We start from the raw sequence: 13,478 nt of genomic DNA on the forward strand, positions 1-13,478 counted from the left end.
CTTCCCTCTTCCAAAAAGAAAAAGAAATTGGGCCTTTTAATTTTGAGCCAGAGAAACTGCTGCGAAGGCCTTTGCCCAGCCTCACCCTGGGAGTTAGTCGTCGTCTTCATTGTCGTCTTCGTTGTCTTCTTCTTTCTTCCTCTCTTCTTCTTTCTTCCTCCTCCTCTTCTTCTTTCTTCCTCTTCCTCTTCTTCTTCCTCTTGCTCCTCCTCCTCCTCCTCTTCTCCCCCAACCCCCACGTTCACTTCATCCCCTGGGAGCTGAGGCTTCCAGGCTCCAGCCTGCAACACATACCGTTCTACTCCCTCTCATCCACAGCCTGCCGGACCACAGGCTGCCCCTACCCCCACTGAAGGGCTGCCACACCAGCCCCGCTTGTCACTGCATTTCTGCTAACTCTTTCTGTTGCGTCCGCACATGACAGGCCCCACCACCATGTGCACATCTGGAAGCCCCACTCAGGTGGCTTCTTTGCCCAAATGCGCTCCTAGTTTTCCACTTCCTGGTGAACCAGCTGTGCTCTTGAGCTCTTGCCCGCGTCCCCTTCTCAGCATCGTCCCATTTCCACTTCCTCACCCCCACGCAACAGGGGATGCTGACCTCAGATCCTCATGCACTGCAGCACAAGACACCCTGTCCCTTCAGGGCCCTTCTCCAATGCTTGTTCATCATGACACTGAGACGTGGTCTCCAATCCATCAAGATCCCTCCTGCTGGGGTCCTCACAAGTTCTGTCTTAATGGACCACTTGGAGTCTTGCCTATTACCTGTAATGGCCTGTAAATTTCCTGGAGTACGGACCAGGAGTGGTTCTGATTCCCCACGGCAACAAGCGGATAGCAGGCTGCTGGTAAAGATCTGTAGAATAGATAAAGAGCCACGTGGTCTTTTATTACATAATCCTAAAGAAAATAGGAAACGAAGGACAGGATTCCATCTTAAGAAACCCCTTTCAGCTGGGCGCAGTGGCTCACATCTGTAATCCCAGCACTTTGGGAGGCCGACAGATCACCTGAGGTCAGGAAACCAGCTTGGCCAAAACCGTCTCTACTAAAAATAAATTATCCAGGTGTGGTGGCTCACACTAGGGGGACAGAGGCCGAAATTGTGGCTGCAGGAACATGGCGAAGGTCCGGTTGACTCTGCACCTGCGAGTCGTAAATCTCACGGTCCAGCCAGCCTGCTCTGGGTCTCTCTCTTCCATCCTTGGTATTTCAAAGAAACACTTGCAGCTCCTTCAAAGCCACATAGCCTCACTTCCCCTCTTCTCCCTGGTAAACTCAGCAAAAAAGGGACATCCACAGCAAAAGGAACTCAAGAAACAGTAATAATCCTGGGGACCTGGACTCACTGAGACAGCCCAGAGACCGTAGTGATCAGGGTGCGGCCCTTTTCAGTGCCATTGAGAACAAGGGAGGGAGAAGTCACCTTCTCTTGCCACATCTTTGTCATTGCACTCCTTCCCCAACCTGGGGCTGCAGAGAAGGTCTGCCCACCTGGCTTCTGAGTCATCCAAGTCTAGGAGGTTGCTCTTTGCCTATGTCCCCTGGTCCCCAGGTAGGTGCCAGTTAGGAGTGAGGTGTGGGCAGTGGCCGCCCTGGTGGGTTCCCCTCTCTCTGGCTTCTCCTTACAACTTTTTCCTTCCCTTTAAGCTTTACAAATACATTCCACTTGCAACAATGTTATGTCTGTATTAAACTTTAAAATTATACTCTGAACAGACCTGGTGTGATTCCATATGGAATGATTTACATGCTAGGCAAGAAACTTTTGCCAGCCAACTGCTAGTTGAATAGTTATTCTAGAGACATTATCAGATTCTATTACTGCCAGGGAAGTTGTTAAAGTTGACAGTTCTTCGGTTCCTGGAGAGCAGGAAATTGTAATGTTAATGCTTATTAATGTGGCTGTTGTCAAAGGTATAAGTAGAAAATAATCACTCTGGTGGCTCATGCCTGTAATACCAACACTTTGGGAGGCTGAGGCGGGTGGATCACTTGAGGTCAGGAGTTCGAGACTAGCCTGGCCAACGTGGTGAAACCCCGTCTCTACTAGAAATACAAAAATTAGCTGGGCATGATGGCACATGCCTGTAATCCCAGCTACTCGGGAGGCTGAGGTAGGAGAATCGCTTGAACCTGGGCAGAGGTTGCAGTGAGCCAATATCGCGCCACTGCACTCTAGCCTGGGTGACAGAACGAGACTCTGTCTCAAAAAATAAATAAAATAACCCCTCTGTTGTGCTCTTGCAGCATTCTGAAGTCCATGGAGTTTGCACCGTCCGAGGGCGCTGGGACACAGGTACGTGTCTCACCTCAATGGTCAGCACTAGCATCAGCCCCGCTGCTGGTTACCACTGGTCCCTCCGGCATATCCCATGATCCACTGTTTCTACGAGACCTCTCACTTACAGCCGATGAGTCATACTTCAAGAACATTTAACCAAGTTGAAGCAAATTATCTTTTTTTTTTTGTCTCCTTTTTTTCCATGTGTCCAAGGCATGAACCAGGCATAGATCAAAAGCCAAGCTGGGGATGAACAAGGGATTGCTTCATCCCTGACTGATAGGAGATGGGCACTACCAAAAAGCAAATTATCTTTAACAAAAAGAGGCAAAAAGAGAAAAGCTAGTGTTTTCCAAACTGGTAACTGAAGTGAAATTGTGATTTCACTTCAGCAGGTACTAAGAACATAAATAAAAAACAATTTCAGATTGTGTTTAAGAAGGCCAGGCTCAGTAGCTCATGCCTGTAATCCCAGCACTTTGGGAGGCCAAGACAGGAGGATCGCTTTGAGGCCAGGAATTTGAGACCAGCCTGGGCAATATAGCAAGACCATGTTGCTATTAAAAAAAAAAAAAATAGCCAAGTACTGTGACATATACCCGTGGTCCCAGCTACTTGGGAGGCTGAGGCAGGAAGATCGCTTGAGCCCAGTAGTTCAAGGCTATAGTGAGCTATGATCGCACCACTGCACTCCAGCCTGGACAACAGATTGAGACTGACTATTTTTTTTTTAATTGCATTAAAGAGCAGCCAAAAATGGATTGGTTTAGGAACTTTAGTTACATGCTGCCTCAGTAGAGAAGGTACAAGGGAAGGATGACTGTGGCCCAGGGTCATCTGGTGGCCAATTAAAATTGACATCCCAGACCAAGCATGGTGGCTCACTCCTGTAATCCCAGCACTTTGGGAGGCTGAGGTAGGTGGATCACTTGAGGTCAGGCATTTGAGACCAGCCTGGCCAATATGGTGAAACCCTATCTCTGCCAAAAATATAAAAAATTAGCTGAGCGTGGTGGCGCACGTCTGTAATCCCAGCTACTTGGGAGGCTGAGGAAGGAGAATCACTTGAACCCAGGAGCCAGAGGGTACAGTGAGCCAAGATCATGCCACTGCACTCCAGCCTGGGCGACAGAGTGAGACTCCATCTCAAAAAATTAAAAAATCAAATCAAATAAAATTGACATCCTAAGTGGAATCTGACTCCTGATGCCCAGAAGACAGCCAACATCTTTGTGGCTGGCAAAAAAAAAAAAAAAAGAAAAGTTCCCTTTACAGTAACGTTCGGACAGACGTTTGTGGCTTGGCAGCCAGTCTTATGGCCAAATGAGGCACGGGCTCAGGTCGCTTGAGTTTGAGAACAGATGAGAGAATAATTAATTTTTTTAGGAGCTGTGGAAGTCTAAGAAGGAAAATGACTTCAACTAGAATCCATTCTTTCTAAAGGGAACTTGTTTTCCACGTGTGTTAAACGACTTGGGGGGAAATCAGCTGTCCGCAGCCCACTTCCTAATCAGATCGAGAGCTGGGTGGGAACGCGGACAGATGGAGGGAGGCAGGGCTCCAGGCCTGGTGGCCCCGGGAGCGGGTGAGTGGCCGGCCCCGCAGTGAGACCCCCGCTCTGCCCCTTCTAGGATGCGGCCAAGCCCCTGGAGGTGCTGTTGCTGGAGAAGAACCGCTCGCTGCAGTCCGAGAACGCCGCGCTGCGCATCTCCAACAGCGACCTGAGCGGTAGGTTGGCCGGGCTTCGCGCGTGTGCGGTGGTTGGTTCGCTTCCAGGGGTCGGTCGAGGACGAGGAAGGTGAATCGTGAGTCTGGACAGATGCATGGCCAGAGAAGCGCCGGTTGACGAGAACCTTTGACTAACGCGTGTTGGGTGCCCTCCTCCTCACCGCTCCTCCCTTCCCTTCCCCGCCCTGCTTAAAGCTGGATGTCGAGACGGGCCAGCCGCACAGGCTCTGCGGAGGTCAGTTAGGGGCAGTGCGGCTGGAATCCCCGGGAGGGACAGCTCGGAGGACGTCGGCCTTTCTGATCTGTGTCTGGTTGTGCTGCACAGAGGCCAGGGGCAGTGTGAACCCAGCCTCGCTCTGGTGGTGTTTTCAGGGACAGCCCCGGGCCTGCCGGGTCCAGTAGAGGTTTTTCTTCCTTGGTCAGGTTTCCCCTGGGGACGCGTCCCCCATCCTTAGCCTTTCTTGGCTCATCCCCCAAATGGTGGCGTCACTTGACTGTGCTTCTGGTTTGGGCAGCTGGTAAAACGCGTACAGGTGTCTCGGGCTCTAATGGTATTGCATTCTCAAAACGGGCGCGCGCCTCCACATCGAGGGGGCTCGGTACGGTGCATCGCCTCAGAGCAAGAGGTGCGAGCGAATCCATTGGTCCTAAAATGTCAGTGTTTGCTGCTCCTCCGGCCGGGGCCAGCGGGCCCAGTAAGAGGCCCGCGACCCGTCAACTCTTCCCTGTGTGTGTCACCAGCTCCTTGTCACGCTAGGAGTTTGAGTCTATGTCAAGGGGACTCTCCAGGCTGCAACGTACAAGAAAGGCGCAAACATGAATGCATGTTGCTTGTTTTGGGAAGCCTCGTTTGGCTGACTTACAAATTTAATCGGAAAACAAACCAACCCACCTCATTGGCCCTTGTAAAAAAAACCTGCACTTTTTTTTGTTTTCCCTTTTGCGGGGGCAAACTTTTGCATTTTGGTCTTGGTTTTTTTTTCCCCCTTTGGAATCCCCCATAATGCATTCTGTTTGCCCTTCCTTGTAGGGTCAGCCAGGAGGAAAGGGAAAGACCAGCCTGAAAGTCGGCGCCCGGGATCTTTGCCGGCCCCCCCTCCTTCTCAGTTGCCCCGCAACCCGGGGGAGCAGGCTTCCAATACTAATGGTACACACCAGTTCTCACCAGCGGGGTTAAGTCAAGACTTTTTCAGCTCATCCCTGGCAAGCCCCAGCCTACCCCTGGCTTCTACAGGAAAATTTGCACTAAACTCTCTTCTCCAGCGGCAGCTAATGCAGTCCTTCTACTCCAAGGCTATGCAGGAAGCCGGAAGCACAAGCATGATTTTTTCAACAGGTCCATACAGCACAAACTCCATATCTTCCCAAAGTCCATTACAACAAAGCCCAGATGTCAATGGCATGGCCCCATCCCCCAGCCAGTCAGAAAGTGCTGGGAGCGTCTCCGAGGGCGAGGAGATGGACACTGCAGAAATCGCCCGGCAGGTCAAAGAGCAGCTGATTAAGCACAATATCGGACAACGTATTTTCGGACATTATGTGTTGGGACTGTCTCAAGGGTCCGTGAGCGAGATTCTGGCCCGGCCCAAGCCATGGAATAAACTGACTGTTCGTGGCAAGGAGCCATTTCACAAGATGAAACAGTTCCTCTCCGATGAGCAGAACATCCTGGCCCTCCGTAGCATCCAAGGCAGACAAAGAGGTGAGAGACTGGCGTTGGGTGGCGCCAGCGTGCGAGCCCGTCACAGAGTTGCACATGTGTGTGTGCATGCGTGCGTGTGTCTGTGTGCGTGATGAAACATTTGTGCATCACATCAGGTAAAGTTCTCTTTGCTTCTGCCACGTCCAGAGCTCAAGGGTGGCCCGGCATGAGTTAAGGCTGTTAGATTTGGGAGATCTGGCCTTTGAAACGCACTCAGCACTCCATACTTAGGAAACCCTATAGTATTTCAATACTAGAGATCGTATCAGAGGGAATTGCATTACATGATGTATAGCGTCTCCGTATGCTTAGTGGCCGCGGGTCCAATTGGCCTTGGGTGCTGGTCTCACTTTTGGGAGGAGCCCTTAAGTCCCCTCCAGCCCCATAGCAGCAACGTTGACTGGGCTCGATCCTCATGCAAAGCTGGTTCTGTAGGGAGAACACATCACAGATGACACCTCCCCTCTTCCCACCCCGCAGAAGAGGGCGTGTCCCATGGCCACCTTCCCTACATTGTTCACGGTCCATTAGTGATTTGTTTAGCATTATGAGTAAAACAGGCCTGGCTTGAGTAAAATACACAAAAGTTTTATTTAAGCACCCTTTCTACCCCACCCTCCGTAAAAAGATAAAATGTCAGTCACATTCATAATTTCAAAAAATCCCAGCCGGGCACAGTAGCTCACGCCTATAATTCCAGCAGTTTGGGAGGCTGAGGTGGATGGATCGCTTGAGTCCAGGAGTTCAAGACCAGCCTGGGCAACATATATTTTGTAATCTTTTGATCTACAAAAAAATCAAAAGGTTAGCTGGGCGTGGTGGCGTGTACCTGTGGTCCCAGCTACTTGAGAGGCTAAGGCAGGAGGATGGCTTGAGCCCAGGAGGTGGAGGCTGCAGTGAGCCATGATTGAGCCACTGCACTCCAGTCTGGGCAACAGAGTGAGAACCTGCCTCAAATAAAAAAACAAAAAAGAAAGTTCCTTTTCTGTTTAAGACCAGGGGATCAATGTGCCACATCAACAGAGCTATTGAGAGGTCATTTCATCAGACATGTTTGAAACACCCTGAAATTTAGACTCAAACAGAGCAGGGAGATGTTTTGAACAGCATCAATTTGCACCAAGAAAATGCAGTGTTTTATGAGGATGTTAACCGAAATTGAATGTCTTTGGATGATTAATGCGAGCTTTGTTCTGGGGGCTGGCGGGTGATCCTCCTTCAAGGCAGTCCTCCCTCCCATGGACCTCCCTGGCCTCAATGCCGTAGGTCGCTACTTAGATTTCCCCCATCTCCTTTTGCAGCAGAGCCACGGCCTCTGCGGGCCGGTCAGCCAGGGAAGGGCCTCTCAGAAGATTCTAGAAACTCCCGAGTTGCACAGGCAGCCCTGAGCCCTTTCTTTAGTGACAGGCGGCTCAGATTTCATGTCACACAGCCCATATCGTCAACACCACCATTCCCCTGATTGTTTTGTTCTTACCACACTTGTTTTTCAACAGAGAATCCAGGCCAGAGCCTGAACAGACTATTTCAGGAAGTACCGAAACGAAGAAATGGGTCTGAAGGTATGTTGCAGGCAGGCGTTTTCTTTGCAGTCAGTCACCTAGGGAAGCAGCATGTCCTTAGCTGTGTATTTGGGTTAAAACTGTGCAGTGTGATTCTGGCCTGGAACCTGATGGAAAAACAGCTAGTAAGTATAAAACAAGGCACGGGTTCAAGCACACCCAGCCCCTTCCTCCCGAGCTGCCTGCCCTCTCCCAAGCACAGGCGGGGGTGAGAAGAGGCATTGCTAAGCTAAGCCCCCCGAGTCTGAATCCCAGCCCACTTCAGATCCTAATTACCCGGTCCCCCGTTTTTCTCAGACGCAGTTGAAAAAATAACAGCGGTTGCTCTGAGAAAAGTCAGGTGACCCGTCAAATTAAATACTGCTGCTTCCTCGTATTTTTAACTCGGAAACACACTCAAGGTCCTATGGAACGGACGCATCCCACATCGTCCCGGTGGCATACTTGTTTTTAAATGGTGGTATACTTGTTTTGAATGCAGTGGTTCCTATTTAGGAAGGTAGTAAGAAATTAAACTATCCGGGTGGCTTCCCGAAAGAGCTGGGGCCAGCCCCTGGGCCATAGTAGCCTCATTTCGTCGGCACGTGTGCCTGCACAAAACATCACCATGTGGCCGAAAGAATCCATCCTCCCCACTTAGGAATTTCTGCAGGCTCCTTTCCTCGTATGTAAATTTTAAAAAGATATTATGTGATAATAGGTGCAAACAATTTTTTAAGTTAAGCCTTTCTTCACCCTGTGCCTCTGAATGATTGATAGACAATCAGCCTCAAACCCTCTGCCCTCCTTTTCCGTTTATCCTGTGTGGGACCCCAGCATCCAATAAACATCTAACCCCGAGGAGAGTCAGTCCCAAGCCACAGCAGTTGCTTCTAAGTGACTCATGAGAAACATTGCCTTTTAATCACTCGCCTTTTATATATATGGATTAAATGATCGGTTCTCCCGGGTACTAACCCACGGGTGGTGTCCGGCTTTGGCAGAGTAACATTGACCGTAAGGTCAAATGAGCAGGAAATCCCTCCTGCCCGGTGTCGCTGTGAAGTTGCACTCACAGCAAACACAGGCCACTGGGAGGCCACATCTGCCTCCTTGTGTCACCAGCCCCCACCCGGGGCTATATATCAGAATGACGTCTTCGCGCAGCGCTGATTTTTGTCCGGGGTTTGGGTTTGATGTCATTGGCGCAACTTCTCCCCACAGGTAACATCACCACCCGGATCCGAGCCTCGGAGACTGGCTCTGATGAAGCCATCAAGTCCATCCTAGAGCAAGCCAAGAGGGAGCTCCAAGTGCAGAAAACTGGTACAGCTTCCATTTCTTCATCCACTGTCTTCAAACTTAATTAAGAGAATTGTCATGAGTGCTCTGGTCAGCAGTAATTAACTATTTTTTTTTTAAACAATAATGAATGCCTGTTCTCAAGCATTTAGGCACGTAGAGAGAAGCAGGTCTGTGTGATCTGTATTTGCCTAATAGTTACCTTTTTTTTTGAGATGCAGTCTCTCTCTGTTGCCTGTGCTGGAGTGCAGTGGCACGATCTCAGCTCACTGCAACCTCTGCCTCCCGGGTTTAAGCGATTCTCCTGCCTCAGTCTCCCGAGTAGCTGGGACTATAGACATGTGCCACCATGCCCATGATATTTGTGTTTTTAGTAGAGACGGGGTTTTACCATGTCGGCCAGGCTGGTCTCGAACTCCTGACCTCCAGTGATCCTCCCACCTCGGCCTCCCACGGTGCTGGGATTACAGGTGTGAGCCACCGCGCCTGGCCCCTAGTTGTAATTATTCACAGAAATTACGCTCCTTAACTTTGACAGAACCACTTGCATTTCAGAATATAGCACAGGAAAATGAATACCAAGTATAAAAATTATCAGAGGTCAGGCGCGGTGGCTCACACCTGCAATCCTGGCATTTTGGGAAGCTGATGGGGGAGGATGACTTGAGTTCAGGAGTTTAAGACCAGCCTATGCAACACAGTGAGAGACCTTGTCTCTTAAAACACTAGCCAGGCATGGTGGCATGCACCTGTGGTCCCAGCTACTTGGGAGGCTGAGCTGGGAGGATTGCTTGAGCCAGGGAGGTGGAGGGTGGGTACAGTGAGCCGTGATCGTGCCACTGCGCTCCAGCCTGGACAACAGCGAGATCCTGTCGCTAAAAAAAAAAAAAAAAAAAAAAAAAAAAATTCTCGGGGAAAGGAGCCCCAGGAGGGCAGGTCGGGGAGCACTTTCACTGACACCCCCTTTATTACCCTCTACATCTGTGTGTATACCAAAGGCCACCAGGTCATCAAGCTGTAGTGTCAGGCCCTGGTCCTTGGTTGAGACAAGATGCCTGAATGTTTCACTGACAGGGGCCATGCTGGGGAAATACACAGTGTGGTTCTCCCAAATAACCCACACTTTGCAGTAGGTCAAGTTAGGATGAGAAGCATGTCCCCAGCTGAAGGGGGCCGCCCTGCCACACTCTCACCCCTGTTTCTCCATGCAGCAGAGCCGGCCCAGCCTTCCTCCGCATCCGGCAGCGGGAACTCTGATGACGCCATCCGCTCCATCCTGCAGCAAGCCCGCCGGGAGATGGAGGCCCAGCAGGCTGCCCTCGACCCTGCCTTAAAGCAGGCACCACTGTCCCAGAGTGACATCACCATCCTCACCCCCAAGCTTCTGTCCACCTCGCCCATGCCCACCGTGTCCAGCTACCCACCTCTCGCCATCTCCCTGAAGAAGCCCTCCGCAGCTCCTGAGGCCGGTGCCTCTGCTCTGCCGAACCCCCCGGCCCTCAAAAAGGAGGCCCAGGACGCCCCCGGGCTGGACCCCCAGGGAGCAGCCGATTGTGCACAAGGGGTCCTGAGACAGGTGAAAAATGAGGTGGGCCGCAGCGGTGCCTGGAAGGACCACTGGTGGAGCGCGGTGCAGCCGGAGAGAAGAAATGCCGCCTCCTCCGAGGAGGCCAAGGCCGAAGAAACGGGCGGCGGGAAAGAGAAGGGCAGCGGTGGCAGCGGAGGTGGCAGCCAGCCTCGGGCCGAGCGCAGTCAGCTCCAGGGACCCTCGTCGTCAGAGTACTGGAAGGAGTGGCCCAGCGCTGAGTCCCCATACTCCCAGAGCTCAGAGCTGAGTCTGACCGGGGCCAGCCGCAGCGAGACACCACAGAACAGCCCCCTGCCATCCTCCCCGATCGTGCCCATGTCCAAGCCCACCAAGCCCTCGGTCCCCCCGCTGACCCCCGAGCAGTACGAGGTCTACATGTACCAGGAGGTGGACACCATCGAGCTCACCCGGCAGGTTAAGGAAAAGCTGGCCAAGAACGGCATCTGCCAGAGAATCTTCGGGGAGAAGGTAAGGGATCTGCTCTGGGGGCTTTGGTTCTCCCATCTCTTCTCCTTGCTGAGGACCAAGTATCTATCCCGCAGCCTGTGACCCTCACCCATTTCAATTCACCCAAGAGCAGAGCGTAAGGCATCCTCTGCTCCCAGACTTCCAAGGTGCGGCTGGTGAACATTGCAGCCCCGATCCCATTTGCCGAGCCCCGACTGCAGCCAGGTTCTAGGCTCAGCCTTTCACCTGCATGCTGCCCTTTCGACCCCTCACTTGGCGCTGGGAAGTGGATGGTAAAATCCCCAATTGACAGGGAAGGACACCAAGGCTTGGGGACGTTAACTACTTGCCCCAAGCTGACCGGCAGCCGAGTCCACATCCAGCTTTTGCTGCCAAGGGGAGCTGAGAGGCACCCCTGCAGGCTTCCTTGGCCAAAAAAAATCCCATCTGATCACACAGAGGGACCACCAGTACGCAGAGAGCCAAAAGGGACTTACTAGAAAAAGCTGCAGAGAGCATTATTGTTCCTTTCTGTGTAACTCTTGGATATTGTTCAGTCAGAGAGGTCAAGCAACCTGCCCGGGGACACACAGCTTGGGGATGGCCCAAGCAGGGTGGCCCGTGTTTCCCTATCATCCTTCCCTGGCTCAGGAAAGTGTAATCGTGCATGGACGAGCTTCTAGGCCTTTCTGTTCTTGGCACTTTCCTGGTCACTGAGATTCAGGAGAATGAGGGTTAACCGTGCCTGCCAAATCTAAAATAAACATCATGTCCTAGTATCATTTTATTTATTTATTTTTTGAGATGGCGTCTCACTCTGTCGCCCATGCTAGAGTGCAGTGACGCTATCTCGGCTCACTGCAACCTCTGCCTCCTGGGTTCAAGCGATTCTCCTGCTTCAGCCTCCTGAGTAGCTGGGATTACGAGTGCCCACCACCACACCCAGCTAATTTTTCTATTTTTAGTCGAGTCAGGGTTTCACCATGTTGGCCAGGCTGGTCTCCTGACCTCAAGTGATCTGCCTGCCTTGGCCTCCCAACCCCCTACCATTTTAGATTAAATAACGGAGTGCTGAATAGAAGGAGAAGCACCCCTCTCCCCTAAAAGGCACCTTCCTGAGGGAGCACGTGGCTGGATCAGCAGGGGACAAATCCCACCCCCTCCCCTGCCAAGCCAGGGTCCCTGCATGGCGCCGTCCCCGCACTCCCCACCCCGCCTTCCACTCAGTGTTTGCCGTATGCTGTGCTGTGAATCCCGGTGGTGTCCGATGGCGAACTTTGCCCTGATTTTGCAAAAGGTGAAGGGGGGCGACTAGAAATGAGGATGAGTATTTCAAGTCCCTTGAGATTTCTAGTTCAGTGTTGTAAAAATACCATTTGAGAACATTGAAATAGACATTCGTGCTCATGCCTTAAATTTAGCAGAGACTTAATAACATTGAACTTGTTTGGCCCGTGAGTGCAGTTTTATTCTGGAACTTGAGAACTTTTCAAAAGAGTGATCGGATGCAGCCCCTAAATATCCCAGGGCGGCATCTGTGTCCTGTGGGGGGTGTTTGTGCCTATACATATGTATGGCCATATGGGAGCGTCAGAAAACTCGGGTGTGTACACGCAACTCGGCAATCATCTGCGGCGGAATGTCACTCCCAGGCCGGCTCCCCAGGTCCCACCAGCTCACCTCTGGGCCCCCACCTTTGATCAGGATGTGGTCAGAACAAGCAGACCTTTCTAAATGCTGGCCTGGCTCAGCGTTTGCAGAGGACACCAGCTTCGCCAGTCCCACCGGCACCCACTGCCCCACCTCTGGAGGGATCTTGTCCCTGGAACCTTAGCCTTTCCCGGTGCCACCAAGTGAAGAGCAAGGTGCTTGTACACACCTCCTCCGCGGGGTGTCAGGGTGACAGCCCTGCCATCTTGGCAGGATCAAGACCCTGGGATGAGACCCTCTTCCCTCCCTGGGAGCTGAGAGCTGTGGCTGTAACCATGGCTCACCCGAAAGTCCCCCTGTGCCGGGGTCTCAGCCACCGTTGATCTTTAAATGCATATTCCCTGCCCACAAGCTGTCACCGCCACCAGGCCGTGGTTCTGTGCTCAGAAGTCAGCCCTAGACGCGCCCTCTGCGTGGTGGGTGTGCATTGCAGCAGCATCTGTGGTGTCATGCTAATAGCCAGGCACTGATGGCCTGTGTGTTCGGTGCCACTCCAGGTGCTGGGCCTGTCCCAGGGCAGCGTCAGCGACATGCTGTCCCGACCGAAGCCATGGAGCAAGCTGACGCAGAAAGGCCGAGAACCCTTCATCCGGATGCAGCTCTGGCTGAACGGCGAGCTAGGCCAGGGTGTTCTACCCGTCCAGGGCCAGCAGCAAGGGCCAGGTAATGGGGGTCCTGCCACAGGAGAGGGGCTGCCCCCCCATAGCAAGGACCTGGTCACAGCAGCCCCACCTGGGCTATGCAGAGAGGGAGGAGGGAACTCCGCCCCAGGAGGTGGCCAACCACACTCCCCACCGTGGGCTGGTGCTGGGGGACAGAACCGTCCCCTTCCTCCACAACCTGTTGCCGTGGGACTGACTTCAGTGTTTAGGAGAGATCATGCCTGTCTAATTTTATAAGCAGCAGAAAATGAGTTACCAATTTAAAAAATGCTGTTTATACATAAATACAGGTAAAAGTCAAGTAGCTGAATCAGGGAGTCAGGAAAGAAAGTCAGCCAAAGGTACAAAAGTGGAAGATGTCACAGGCGAAACCTTTCACCTGCTCCCGGCCCGGGGGCCTGGCCTTGCAACAGCAGCGCCTCCCCGGCCCGTGGGTCCCCATGCCCGCCCCTCCCCAGGAGGAATGGGAAGCCTCCCCGGGCCTTGCCACATTCAGTTAGGAAGCTTTAAGC

The 13,478-nt window shown here is 52.4% G+C and overlaps 1 protein-coding gene and 1 non-coding gene across 26 annotated transcripts in view, besides 1 other annotated feature; one reads left to right on the forward strand and one right to left on the reverse strand.

Annotated features, from left to right (window-relative positions):
* Positions 1–13,478, forward strand: part of CUX1 (cut like homeobox 1) — a 467,952-nt gene that overhangs the window by 375,583 nt on the left and 78,891 nt on the right. For 6 of the 25 annotated variants that reach the window (NM_001913.5, NM_181500.4, NM_001202545.3 and 3 more), the window contains 2 exons: positions 2,253–2,301; positions 3,918–4,014. In NM_001913.5, the coding sequence (NP_001904.2) occupies positions 2,253–2,301; positions 3,918–4,014 (146 nt within the window). Of the gene's footprint in view, positions 1–2,252; positions 2,302–3,917; positions 4,015–5,044; positions 5,717–7,212; positions 7,279–8,481; positions 8,584–9,770; positions 10,616–12,801; positions 12,968–13,478 lie in introns of all 25 variants that reach the window. The other 19 variants (NM_001202543.2, XM_047419909.1, NM_181552.4 and 16 more) reach the window with 8 other exon arrangements.
* Positions 2,487–2,616, reverse strand: LOC124900244 (small nucleolar RNA SNORA48). The gene has a single exon (XR_007060659.1). It is a non-coding gene; the product is annotated as a small nucleolar RNA SNORA48 (small nucleolar RNA).
* Positions 6,863–8,062: an enhancer, noted in NCBI's record as "CDK7 strongly-dependent group 2 enhancer chr7:101841732-101842931 (GRCh37/hg19 assembly coordinates)". NCBI's record gives its function as "activates an origin of replication core promoter dependent on BRD2, BRD4, P300/CBP, MED14 and CDK7 cofactors, with strong dependence on CDK7, by STARR-seq in HCT116 cells {active_cell/tissue: HCT116}" and the evidence as "EXISTENCE:reporter gene assay evidence [ECO:0000049][PMID:35650434]".

Source organism: Homo sapiens, chromosome 7 (genome assembly GCF_000001405.40).
Source record: "Homo sapiens chromosome 7, GRCh38.p14 Primary Assembly".
NCBI lineage: Eukaryota > Metazoa > Chordata > Mammalia > Primates > Hominidae > Homo > Homo sapiens.